Source organism: Homo sapiens, chromosome 19, assembly GCF_000001405.40.
Source record: "Homo sapiens chromosome 19, GRCh38.p14 Primary Assembly".
Classification (NCBI taxonomy): domain Eukaryota; kingdom Metazoa; phylum Chordata; class Mammalia; order Primates; family Hominidae; genus Homo; species Homo sapiens.
This window is the reverse complement of record NC_000019.10, coordinates 45,023,901-45,037,091: the sequence shown is the minus strand read 5'-3', so window position 1 is coordinate 45,037,091 and position 13,191 is coordinate 45,023,901. Positions and strand designations below refer to the sequence as shown.

Sequence of the window (13,191 nt, the reverse complement as noted above, 5' to 3'; positions counted from 1 at the left end):
TGCCAGGCTGGTCTCGAACTCCTGACCTCAGGTGATCCACCTGCTTCGGCCTCCCAAAGTGCTGGGATTACAGGTGTGAGCCACCAAGCCTGGCCTTAGGTGCCCTCTTAATCCCAAGGAGAATCCGTGTGGGACTATCACCATTCTCAGATAATAAGTAAATTGAAGGCCAAGCGTGGTGGTTCACACCTGTAATCCCAGCACAACGTGACGAGACCCTGTCTCTACAAAAAAATTATTTAAAAGTTAGCTGGGTGTGGTGGTGCCCGCCTGTAGTCCCAGCTACCTGGCAGTCTGAGGCAGGAGGATTGCTTGAGCCCAGTTTGAGGCTGCAGCGAAGTATGATCACACCACTGCACTCCAGCCTGGGCAACAGAGCAAGACCTTATCTCTAAAAATAATTAATAATAAGTAAACTAAGGCACTGAGGGAAAGTAAATGGAAGGCTCACACAGCTGTTGTGGAACTGGGGTTGAAACCATGCTCCTACACAGCTGTGGAGAGTTTTCCCTGAGAGTGAGAAAGGAGAAGAGGTTCCAAAGCCCCCCAACATACAGAGACAACCCAAAAAGTGAAATCTCCAGACCATGGGAGACACAAGTTGGGAAGTCACCAGTCCCAAAATTGTCAGAAAAAATAAATGTCATTCTCAGGCATAATGGGGACTTAAGAAAAAATAACAATCAAATCAAAAAGTTTCATTATAAGAGGGATTCTCAGGCCAGGCATGGTGGCTCACGCCTGTAATCCCAGCACTTTGGCAGGCCGAGGCGGGCAGATTACCTGAGGTCAGAAGTTCAAGACCAGCCCGGCCAACATGGCGAAACCCCTTCTCTCCCAAAAATACAAAAATTAGCAGGGCATGGTGGTGGGCACCTGTAATCCCAGCTACTCAGGAGGCTGAGGCAGGAGAATCACTTGAACCTGGGAGGTGGACATTGCAGTGAGCTGAGATTGTGCCACTGCACTCCAGCCTAGGCAACAGGGCAAGACTATCTCAAAAAAAAAGAGGGACTCTCTTTTTGGAACAAGACAAACCTTAGAGACACAAGGGACTATTTTCTAGCCTTCCTTGCAGCCTGATGTGATCATGTGACTAAGGTCTGCTAACTGGAACGTGGGCGTAATGGCTGGAGCTACAACAGCCACCTTGCACCATGAGTTGGCGAACTGAAAATGGCAGAAGCCTCGGTCTCTCGATGATCATGCAGTCACCAGACCATCCCTGGAACACCTACCTATGGACTGTTTTTTGTTTCTTGTTTTTGAGACGGAGTCTTGCTCTGTTGACAGGCTGGAACACAGTGGCACCATCTTGGCTCACTGCAGCCTCCACCTTTTGGGTTCAAATGATTCTCCTGCCTCAGCCTCCCAAGTAGCTGGGACTACAGGCATGTGCCACCACATCCAGCTAATTTTTGTGTTTTTAGTAGAGATGGAGTTTCACCATGTTGGCCAGGATGGTCTCTCTCTCTTCACCTCGTGATCTACCTGCCTTGGCCTCCCAAAGTGCTGGGATTACAGGCGTAAGCCACAGTGCCAGGCCTGTTTTGTTGTTGTTGTTGTTGTTGTTTTGAGAAGGGTCTCATTCTGTTGCTCAGGCTAAAGTGCAGTGGTGCAATCTTGGCTCACTGCAACCTTCACCTCCTGGGTTCAAGTGATTTGTCTGCCTCAGCCTCCAAGTAGCTGGGACTACAGGTGTGCACCACCACACTCGGCTAATTTTTGTATTTTTAGTAGAAACAGGGTTTTACCACGTTGGCCAGGCTGGTCTCAAACTCCTGGACTGAAGCAGTCCACCTGCCTCAGCCTCCCAAAGTGCTGAGATTACAGGCATGAGCCACTTTCAGTCCCTACAGACTATGTATGTGAGACAAGAAATAACGTTCTATCCTGTTGAAGCCCCTGTTATTTTGGGTTTTGCTGTAAATGCAGTTAAATGTGATCATAGGTGGGATGCAGTGGCTCATGCCTGTAATCCCAGCACTTTGGGAGGCTGAGGCAAGCAGATCACCTGAGGTCAGGAGTTCAGGACCAGCCTGGCCAATGTGGTAAAACACCGTCTCTACTAAAAAATACAAAAATTAGCCAGGTGTGGTGGTGTATGCCTTTAGTCCCAGCTACTTGGGAGCCTGAAGCAGGAGAATCGCTTGAACTCAGGAGGCAGAAGTTGCAGTGAGCTGAGATCATGCCACTGCACTGCAGTCTGGGCGACAGAGCGAGACTCCATCTCCAAAAAAAAAAAAAAAGAAAGAAGAAATAGATCAAATTTTAAAACACCACTGAGCTAAGTATGTACTGGGCCTTTTCAAAGGAGTCCCTGAGGCTCTGAGAGGTAGAACAACTTAATGAAGTTCACATAGCAAGGAAATGGCCCAGAAGAGATCAGAACTTCCATTCTGTCTCCAAAGCCCTCATTCTTTCTACTCTATGTTGCTGGCTAAGTGCTGAGTGACTCGCCTTGTGGCTGCTCTTGGAGGGCGTGAAGAGGCCAGAAAAGCAGGGCTGCCACTTACCCTCTGCCCACCCAGGGGACAGGGGCTTATGTGTAGCTGGGACCCACCTGAGCCGTGGTTGGGCAGGAAGTGGTCCAGGATGGCCGGCTTTTTCTTCCGCCGTTTGCTCTCGATGCCATGGGGGTCTGAGGGAAGGCAGAGATGAGGACCCCTGTTCCCCGACAGCCCTTCCTCCCCAGCCTGGGGTGGGACAGGGCAGTGGGGTCAGCTGTCCCCTCCCCAGAACCTGGGGATGGGGGTGGAAAGGGGCAGAGGGCACACACCAGAGCTGTTCAGCTCCCCAAGGACGTCGGGCATCCCCCGTTTCCGCTTCTTGTCCACGCCGTAGCTGTCTGTTAAGGAGATACCAGGGACACACAAGAAGTAATTCATCAATAATAATTAATTCCTTTATTTATTTATTTATTTATTTATTTTTAGAGACAGTCTTGCTCTGTTGACCAGGCTGGAGTGCAGTGGCACGGTCTTGGCTCACTGCAACCTCTGCCTGCCAGGTTCAAGTGATTCTCCTGCCTCAGCTTCCCAAGTAGGAGGGATTACAGGTGTGCGCCACCACGCCCAGCTAATTTTTGTATTTTTTTAGTAGAGATGGGATTTCACTATATGTTGGCCAGTCTGGTCTTGAACTCCTGACCTCAAGTGATCTGCCTGCCTTGGCCTCCCGAAGTGTTGGGATTACAGGTGTGAGCTGCTGTGCCAGGCCTATTTTTTTTTTTTTTAAAGATGGAGTCTTGGCTGGGCGTGGTGGCTCACTCCTGCAATCCCAGCACTTTGGGAGGCTGAAGTGGGCGGATCACCTGAGGTCAGGAGTCCGAGACCAGCCTGACCAACACGGCGAAACCCGGTCTCTACTAAAAATACTAAAATTAGCCGGGCATGGTGGCGGGTGCCTGTAGTGAGTCTTGCTCTGTTGCCCAGGCTGGAGTGCAATGGCACAATCTTGGCTCACTGCAACCTCTGCCTCCCGGGTTCAAGCAATTCTCCTGCCTCAGCCTCCCGAGTAGCTGGGACTATAGGCGCCCACCACCACGCCCGGCTAATTTTTGTATTTTTAGTAGAGACGGGGTTTCGCCATGTTGTTCAGGCTGGTCTCGAACTCCTAACCTCAGGTGATCCGCCTGCCTCAGCCTCCCACAGTGCTGTGATTACAGGCATGAGCCACTGCGCCCGGCCTACACACTGGCCTCTTTGTTGTTCCTGGAGCACCCCAGGCACAATCCGGCCTCAGGACCTTTGCACCTGCTGTTCCAGCTGTTTAAAGCACTCTTCCTCCACTCTCACTATTTCCCTAGAAAACTTCCCTGCTTAGTCATCCTCCTGTCCTCAGCTCAGCTGTCCCCTCCTCCAAGAAGCATTCCCTGACACCTACAGCTGGGTCAGGTACCCCCTCTGGGCAATGTGAGCCCTTGAGCACTTCATTCCAGTCCTGCCCACTCTGGTCATCACTCTGTAGGGACAGGCTGTCCCCTATCCTCAGGACTATAAGCCTCATGAGGACACAGCTAGGGGCCGTGCTGGTCACTGCTGTGTCTCTAGCAATACCGAGCACAGGCCCGGGCATGTGCAGGATGCTGAGGGGAGGAAAGATTAAATACTCTCCAAATGTCACAGGACAGCTACTATTATTTCCATTTTGCACAGAAGAATGAGGCTCAGAGAGGCCAAGGTCACACAACCAGTAAGCAGCAGAGCCAGGATCTGAACACTGTCTTTGTAGCTCTGAGCCTGCATTCTAGTTCTGCCTCTTTCCCATCCCCACTGGGGTCTCCCCAAGGCCAAAGACCTAGTCTCCGAGGTGGTGGGTCACCCTGGGTTGCTGTAGTTACCATGGTCGCGAGGCAGGTACGTGAAAGGCAATGGCTCGCTGCAGACCCCATCGGTGAGCCGCTGCAGGAAGACGTTGACTGTCACGGGCTCGACAATCTCCAGGTCCTCGTAGGGCGGCGTCTTGAACACAATGGCAATCTGGCGGTGCACGTCGGCCTGGGAGAAGTCAGCCCGACCTTCCCAGGAGGCCCTGCTGAACACCACTGATATGTCCTCTGGCAGGAAACGGGGGACATCAGCTAAGCCAGGACATCTGGACCACTGTGCTCCCAACTTGCCCAGCCTCCCCTAAAATCAAGACTAATATTCCCCCTTTTTAAAATTTTTTTTTTTTGAGAGTCTTGCTCTGTTGCCCAGGCTGGAGTGCAATGGCGCGATCTCAGCTCACTGCAACCTCTGCCTCCCGGGTTCAAGCAATTCTCCTGCCTCAGCCTCCGGAATAGCTGGGATTACAGGCATATGCCACCACGCCCGGCTAATTTTATTTTTGGTTTTTTTTTGTTTGTGTGTTTTTGAGATGGAGTCTCACTCTGCCTCCAGGCTGAAGTGCAGTGGCATGATCTCGGCTCACTGCAACCTCCAACTCCCTGGTTCAAGTAATTCTCCTGCCTCAGTCTCCCGAGTAGCTGGGATTATAGGCATGTGCAACCACGCCCAGCTAATGTTTGTATTTTTAATAGAGACGGGGTTTCACCACGTTGGCCAGGATGGTCTCGCTCTCCTGACCTCGTGATCTGCCCGCCTTGGCCTCCCAAAGTGCTGGGATTACAGATGTAAGCCACCAAACCCGGCCTTGTTTTATGTATTTTTATATATATTATCTCATTTAATCCTTATAACAATTTAAGAGGTAGGTAGAATTAATATCCCCCTTGCCAGGCACGGTGGCTCACGCCCATAATCCCAGCACTTTGGGAGGCCGAGGCAGGCGGATCACGAGGTCAGGAGATCGAGACTACCCCGGCTAACATGGTGAAACCCCGTCTCTACTAAAAATACAAAAAAATTAGCCGGGCATGGTGGCAGGCGCCTGTAGTCCCAGCTACTCAGGAGGCTGAGGCAGGAGAATGGCGTGAACCCGGGAGGCGGAGCTTGCAGTGAGCCAAGATCGCACCACTGCACTCCAGCCTGGGGGACAGAGCAAGACTCCGCCTCAAACAAACAAACAAAAGAATTAATATCCCCCTCATGTCCAGGGATCCTCAAGATCACCCTCAGGTGGTTCAGTAAGAGGACTCACAAGACAGCATACAGTCATACTCACAGCTATGATCTGTTATGGCAAAAGGATACCAGGCACAGTCAGCAGAGAAAAAAGGTGCCTGTCCAGGCATAGTGGCCCACACCTGTAATCCCAGCCCTTTGGGAGGCTAAAGCTGGCAGATCACTTGAGGCCAGGAGTTCAAGACCAGACTGGCCAACACAGCAAGACCTTGTCTCTACAAGAAAATTAAAAAATTAGCCAGGCATGGTGGCGCACGCCTGTGGTCCCAGCTATTTAAGAGACAGAGCGAGAGCCTGGTTCTTAAAAAAAAAAACAAAAACGGAAACTGAGGCTTGAAAGTGTTGAGACATCACACAACTGGTAGCGGAAGAGTCAGGATTCATGATGCTACTCTGCCTGCTATTTATTTTTCTTGTCTTACTGCATCGCCCGTCATCACAGTACCTCCATGTACTGAGACTTTATATGTGTCAGTTACATATAGATTGCCTCTAAGTCACACAACAACTCTATGAAGAAGGTACTATTAGGTACCGTATTGTATAAAGACGAAAATGAAGGCACAGAGAGGTGAAGTCACTTGTCCAAGGTCACACAGCTGGCAAGTGTTAGAGCCAAGATGGAAACCCAGGAAGGCTAGAACTCTTCACTACCAACTCTGTTATAACTTGGGGAAGTTACTAGATATCTCTGGAACCAGTTTCTTCACTTTACTTTATTCTATTTTGAGACAGAGTCTCGCTCTATTGCCCAGGCTGCAGTGCGGTGGCACCATCATAGCTCACTGTAACCTCCAACTCCTGCACTTAAGCAATCCTCCTACCTCAGCCTCCCAAGTGCTGGGACTACAGGCACATGCCCCAACATGCCTGGCTATTTTATTTCATTTTTTGAGACAGAGTCTCACTGTGTTGCCCAGGCTGGTGTGCAATGGCATGATCTCGGCTCACTGCAACCTCTGCCTCCCAGGTTCAAGTGATTCTCGTGCCTCAGCCTCCCAAGTAGCTGGAATTACAGGTGTGTTCCACCACACCCAGCTAATTTTTATATTTTTAGTAGAGACAGGGTTTCACCATGTTGGCCATGCTGGTTTTGAACTCCTGACCATAAGTGATTCGCCCACCTTGGCCTCCCAAAGTATTGGGATTACAGGTGTGAGCCACCACAGCCGGCCTAATGCCTGGCTATTTTTTAATTAAAAAGAACTTTTTTTTGTAGAGATGGGGGCTTGCTATGTTGCCCAGACTGGACTCAAACTCCTGGGCTCAAGTGATCCTCCCACCTCAGCCTCCCAAAGTGCTAGAATTACAGGCATGAGCCACCAGCCCAGCCGGTTTGTTTTTGGTTTTGATTTTTTGAGACAGGGTCTGTCTCTGTCGCCCTGGCTGGAGAGCAGTGGTGCAATCTTGGCTCACTGCAGCCTCCGCCTCCCGGGCTCAAGTGATCCTCCCACCTCAGCCTCTCAAGTAACTGGGACTACAGGTGCACACTACCACACCTGCTAAATTTTTTATTTTTTGTAGAGACAGGGTTTCACCATGTTGCCCAGGCTGGTCTCGAACTCCTGAGTTCAAGTGATCTGCCCGCCTCAGCCTCCAAAACTGTGCTAGGATTACAGGCATGAGCTGCTGTGCCCAGCTGTCTTTTTCTTTTCTTTCTTTTTTTCTTTTTTTTGAGACAGAGCTTTGCTCTGTGGCCCAGGCTGGAGTGCAGAGGCGTGATCTCGGCTCACTGAAACCTCTGCCTCCCAGGTTCAAGCGATTCTCCTGCCTCAGCCTCCCGAGTAGCTGGGATTACAGGTGTATGCCACCACAACCAGCTCATTTTTGTGTTTTTTAGTAGAGATGGGGTTTCACCATGTTGGGAGGCTGGTGTCGAACTCCTGACCTCAGGTGATCCGCCCACCTTGGCCTCCCAAAGTGCTGGGATTGCAGGCATGAGCCACTGCGCCCAGCCCTCATTTTTGTATTTTTAGTAGATATGGGTTTTCACCATGTTGCCCAGGCTGGTCTCGAACTCCTGAGCTCAAGTGATCCACCCACCTCAGCCTCCCAAATTGCTGGGATTACAGGCTTGAGCCACGGTGACCAGCTGTCTTTTTTTTTTAAAAGCCTGTTTGAGGAAGGGCCATTTGAACAGAGATGAATGAAGTGGAGTTGCTTCTCCTGTCCTATTTGCTTTACCCATAGCGCTTATCAGAACCACCGTAAAGCGTTCATTTATGCAATTCCACCCTTAACATCAGAGTCCTCTGGACATGTCGTGAGCTCTGTGATGGCACCGCCTAGCTTGCAGCATGGGTCACCACAGACGAGTCTCTGTCGTCCTACGCAGACGGGTGAGAAGGCGACTCAGGGAGTGAATGAACCCATCAGCTGTGTCTGACTGCAAAGACAGTGTTCTGGACCCTTGCACTCTGGTGCCCTGGTTAACCAGCTCTTTCTCATCCTTTCATCTTCCCGGGCTCCCTGGCTACCCCTCCAAGTTGCCAGACCCCGCTCTGCCCAAGCTTGCTGCCCCAGGCCCCTCACCTTTCTGCACCTTGTCGCAGAGCAAGTAGAGCTCCTCGCCACCGGTGCACGGCCCGCTTTCCTTGTTAATTCGGCAAATCCGCAGCTCTGATGTGTTTGTGGATTCTGGGAAGGAGCAAGAGGAAGAAGTGTATTAAAAAAAATCCCGAGAATTCAGTCACCAAAGCCTTACTGGGCACCCAGTGGGTGCCATCCCCGGGGCCCTGGAGACGTAGGGAATTGAAAAGGCAGGGCATCTGATCCTCATGGAACCCATAGTCCAGGTGGAGAAAGAAGTCACTCGGACAGAAGGGGTTAACGAACAATCGCCAGCCCTCAAGCTGAAGCCCGGTGAGTGTCTGTCCAAAACGAAGATCTTTTGCCGGGCATGGTGGCTCACGCCTGTAATCCCAGCTCTTTGGGAGGCCGAGGCAGGTGGATCACTTGAGGTCAGGAGTTTGAGACCAGCCTGGCCAACATGGTGAAACCCTGACTCTACTAAAAATACAAAAATTAGCTGGGTGTGGTCCCAGTTACTCAGGAGGCTGAGGCAGAAGAATCACTTGAACCCAGGAGACAGGGGTTGCAGGGAGCTGAGATTGCACCACTGCACTCCATCGTGACAGAGGAAAACTCCGTCTCAAAACAAAAAACAAACAAACAAAAAAATAACAAAACAAAAGAAGATCCTTTGCTAGGCAAGGTAGCTCACACCTGTAATCCCAGCACTTTTGGGGGCCCAGCCAGGAAGATCACGTGAGGCCAGAAGTTCAAGACCAGCCTGGGCAACATAGCAGACCCCCATCTCTCTCAAAAAAGAAAAAAAAAATTGCCAGGCATGATGGCTCACACCTGTAATGCCAGCACTTGAGGGGCCGAGGAGGGAGGATCGTTTGAGCCCAGGAGTTCTGGACCAGCCTGGGTAACATGGTGAGACTCTAGCTCTACAAAGTTTTAAAAATAAAACTTAGCCAGGTGTGGTGGCACATGCCTGTAGTCTCAGCTACTTGTGAGGCTGAACTGGGAGGATCACTTGAGCCCAGGAGTTCAGGCTGCAGTAAGCTATGACTGCACCACTGCATGACTGCCTAGGCAACAGAGTGAGACCCTATCTCTAAAAAAAAATAATAAAAATAATTTTTAAAAAATGTTTAAGGGAGACCCTCAGACCTCAGGGAGAGTTGATGGGGTCCCAGGTGAGAGAAGGTTCCTTGAGGAGAGTTTGATAGACTGTAATCATGTAGTGGACACCTGTTGTTTTCCCCATCTAGTAGTCCTGACCCCTCTTCTTTTAACAGCCTCCAATTTTCCCTCAAGGGACCACCCCTCATCTTAGTAACTGGGATTGGGCAGGGCTGAGCCCACTTCCTAGCTCAGCAGTAATTGAGCGCATGCCCCAGACCTGGCCAATCAGAGCAGTGCATCCCTCTGGCCAAAGCTGATTTGTCAAAAAGGAGCAAATGACCAAAACCAGGCCAATGAGAGATAGACCTGAGACTTTAAGCAAAGCTATTAGGTAAGAGAAGCTAAAAGCAGCTTTGGGAGTCGGGGAGAGGTGCCAGGCAGGTAGGATATAAGCATGGATTCTAACATGGAGGAAGAACAGCTGAGAGACAGAAAGAGACAGATATCTAATGACATCACTGAGGCCCTGGATGCAGCCAGACCTGAAGCACTATGCTACATCTGCATTTTTTCTCGTTAATAGAACAAATAGAATAACTTATTCTCTTTTTTCCCCCTTAAGCCTATTTAAGTAAGGATTCTTTTTTTTTTTTTTTGAGAAGGAGTCTCGCTCTGTTGCCCGGGCTGGAGTGCAGTGGTGCGATCTCGGCTCACTGCAAGCTCCGCCTCCAGGGTTCACGCCATTCTCCTGCCTCAGCCTCCTGAGTAGCTGGGACTACAGGCGCCCGCCACGACGCCCGGCTAATTTTTTTTTTGGATTTTTAGTAGAGACGGGGTTTCGCCATGTTAGCCAGGATGGTCTCGATCTCCTGACCTCGTGATCTGCCCACCTCGTCCTCCCAAAGTGCTGGGATTACAGGCGTAAGCCACCTCGCCCGGCTAAGTTGGGATTCTATCACTTGCATCCATAAATGCCCTGACTGAATTAATATCCCATTTTGATGCTTACAGCAGTCACTATGGGTTGGCTAAAACCTACCAGTTATTCCCAGTCCCCTCTTCTATGCCTGTATCCCTCTATAGAGGGTGAAAAATCTAAGCACTTGCTTTCCCAGACCACCCTGCAACTAGGAGTGGCCATGGGACCAAGCTCTGGCCACTGAAAAATAAGCAGAAGTCTACCAGGGTGATTCTGTGGAATATAATGCACTCTCTCAGAAAGGGAGAGAGATTATTACTTATGCTGCCTCTTCCCTTGGGCTGCCTGGTATAGTTGTACAGATTGTTCATTCTACAACACTAGAAGATTCCATTTTGGGTTTGATGTTTTTTTTTCTTGTTTTTTGAGACGGAGTCCCTCTCCATTGCCCAGGCTGGAGTGCAGTGGTGCAATCTCAGCTCACTGCAACCTCCGCCTCCCAGGTAGCAGGGATTACAGACGTGTGCCACCATGCCCAGCTAATTTTTGCATTTTTAGTAGAGACAGGATTTCACCACTTGCTCTGTTGCCCAGGCTGGACTGCAGTGGCATGATCACAGCTCACTGCAGCCTCAACCTCCTGGGCTCAAGCAATCTTCCCACCTCAGCCTCCAAAGTAGCTGGGACTACAGGTGCATGTCACCATGCCCAACTAATTTTTTTTTTTTGAGATGCAATCTCACTCTGTTGCACAGGCTGGAGCGCAGTGACGCGATCTCGGCTCACTGCAACCTCCGCCTCCCGGGTTCAAGCAATTCTTCTGCCTCAGCCTCCTGAGTAGCTGGGATTATAGTCGCCTGCCACTGCGCCCAGCTAATTTTTGTATTTTTAGTAGACAGGGTTTTGGCATGTTGGCCAGGCTGGTCTCAAACTCCTGACTTCTCAGGTGACCTGCCCGCCTTGGCCTCCCAAAGTGCTGGGATTACCGGCATGAGCCACCGTGCCTGGCCACCCAGCTAATTTTTAAATTTTTTATAGAGACAGGGTTTTGCCAAGTTGCCCAGGCTGGTCTTGAACTCCTGGGCTCAAGCAATCCTCCCACCTCGACCTCCCAAAGTGTTGGGATTACAGGCGTGAGCCACAGCGCCTGAGCCATTCATGCCTCTGTAAGCGGGACATTCTGACACCTGCAGCCAAGGGCAATCCTAACGGCCACAGCACTCTCAACTCACTCTTGTCATAGACGGGCTCGGAAAGCACAGGATCCATCCGGCGCATCTGTCCCTGCTGGTCCCGATATGAGGCCTGGAAGCAGATCCTCACCACATTCATGTCTACTTCCTGATGGTTCTTCAGGGACCCAGCTGTCGGGGGAGATATGGGGAGGCTGAGGGTGGGAAGTGGAGACCCTCTCTGGGGTACAGGGGAACGGGGAAGGGATGGGGCTGGAGGAGACGGTGGGGCCTGGAGTGGTGAGGGGACCAGGGTGAGCACGGAAGTCAAGGGGTTTGGGAGGACGGGATGGTCAGGTCAGGCAGGGGGTGCTCACCGTTGTAGGGGTCAATGCCCAGTTGAATCTTCCGCTCAATGGCAGCCTCAATCTCCTTCTTCCTCACACACTGGATGCCCAGGTTGTTAAAACTGAGGGGGTGACGGGGGAGGGAGAGGAGTGCTCGTGAGCAGGCAAGTGTGGCCCTAACCTGCAGGAGGGCTCTGGCAGATGCTGCTGTGGGGCTCAGGCTCTCAGGGGCTGACATCCCAGGCCCAGGGGTCCCAGCATTAGAAACGGTCTGGGGTTTAAACCTCTCAGAAGGCCAGCGCGGTGGCTCACACCTGTAATCCCAGCACTTTGGGAGGCCGAGGCAGGAGGATCACTTGAGGTCAGTAGTTCAAGACCAGCATGGCCAACATGGTGAAACCCTGTCTCTACTAAAAATACAAAAATTAGCAGACATAGTAGTGCATGCCTGTAATCCCAGCTACTCGGGAGGCTGAGGCAAAAGAATCACTTGAACCCGGGAGGCAGAGGTTGCAGTGAGCCGAGATTGTGCCACTGCACTCCAGCCTGGGCAACAGAGTTAGACACCATCTCAAACAATAAAAAATAAAATAAACCTTTTGGCCAGACGTGGTGGCTCACATCTGTAGAATCCCAGCACTTTGGGAGGCCAAGGTGGGCAGATCACGAGGTCAAGAGAGGGACACCATCCTGGCCAGCATGGTGAAGCCCTGTCTCTACTAAAAATACAAAAATTAGCTGGGTGTGGTGGCGCACACCTGTAATCCCAGCTACTCAGGAGGCTGAGGCAGGAGAATTGCTTGAGCCCGGGAGGTAGAGGTTGCAGAGAGATGAGATCATGCCACTGCACTTCAGCCTGGCGACAGAGCAAGAATCTGTCTCAAAAAATAAAAATAAGCATGTCAAAGGTTCTTGAGAAGATCCAGAACATGCCTTATCTTTACCATGTGAGAACACTGGCCAACTTCATCTTTAATAGGAAAACTTCAGGCCGGGCGTGGTGGCTCACGCCTGTAATCCCATCACTTTGGGAGGCCGATACGGGCAGATCAGGAGGTCAGGAGATCGAGACCACCTTGGCTAACACGGTGAAACCCCGCCTCTACTAAAAATACAAAAAAATTAGCCAGGCATGGTGGCGGGTGCCTGTAGTCCCAGCTACTCGGGAGGCTGAGGCAGGAGAATGGCGTGAGCCTGGGAGGCGGAGTTTGCAGTGAGCCGAGATCGCGCCACTGCACTCCAGCCTGGGCGACAAAGCGAGACTCCGTCTCAAAATAAATAAATAAATAAATAAAATAAGAAAACTTCAGGGCCAGGTGCGGTGGCTCACGCCTGTAATCCCAGCACTTTGGGAGGCCGAGGCGGGTGGGTCACAAGGTCAGAATTTTGAGATCAGCCTGACCAACGTGGTGAAACCCCGTCTCTACTAAAAATACAAAAATTGGAGGCCGAGGCGGGTGGGTCACAAGGTCAGAATTTTGAGATCAGCCTGACCAACGTGGTGAAACCCCGTCTCTACTAAAAATACAAAAATTAGCCAGGTGTGGTGG

The 13,191-nt window shown here is 51.0% G+C and overlaps 1 protein-coding gene across 5 annotated transcripts in view; it reads right to left on the bottom strand.

Annotated features, from left to right (window-relative positions):
* The window catches only part of RELB (RELB proto-oncogene, NF-kB subunit), a 36,729-nt gene that overhangs the window by 1,101 nt on the left and 22,437 nt on the right, over positions 1–13,191 (bottom strand). For 4 of the 5 annotated variants that reach the window (XM_047439189.1, NM_006509.4, NM_001411087.1 and 1 more), the window contains 6 exons: positions 11,672–11,763; positions 11,355–11,486; positions 8,100–8,204; positions 4,343–4,558; positions 2,780–2,848; positions 2,564–2,641 (listed from right to left, as the gene is read on the bottom strand). In XM_047439189.1, the coding sequence (XP_047295145.1) occupies positions 2,564–2,641; positions 2,780–2,848; positions 4,343–4,558; positions 8,100–8,204; positions 11,355–11,486; positions 11,672–11,763 (692 nt within the window). The remainder of the gene's footprint in view (positions 1–2,563; positions 2,642–2,779; positions 2,849–4,342; positions 4,559–8,099; positions 8,205–11,354; positions 11,487–11,671; positions 11,764–13,191) is intronic. The other variant, XM_005259128.3, reaches the window with a different exon arrangement.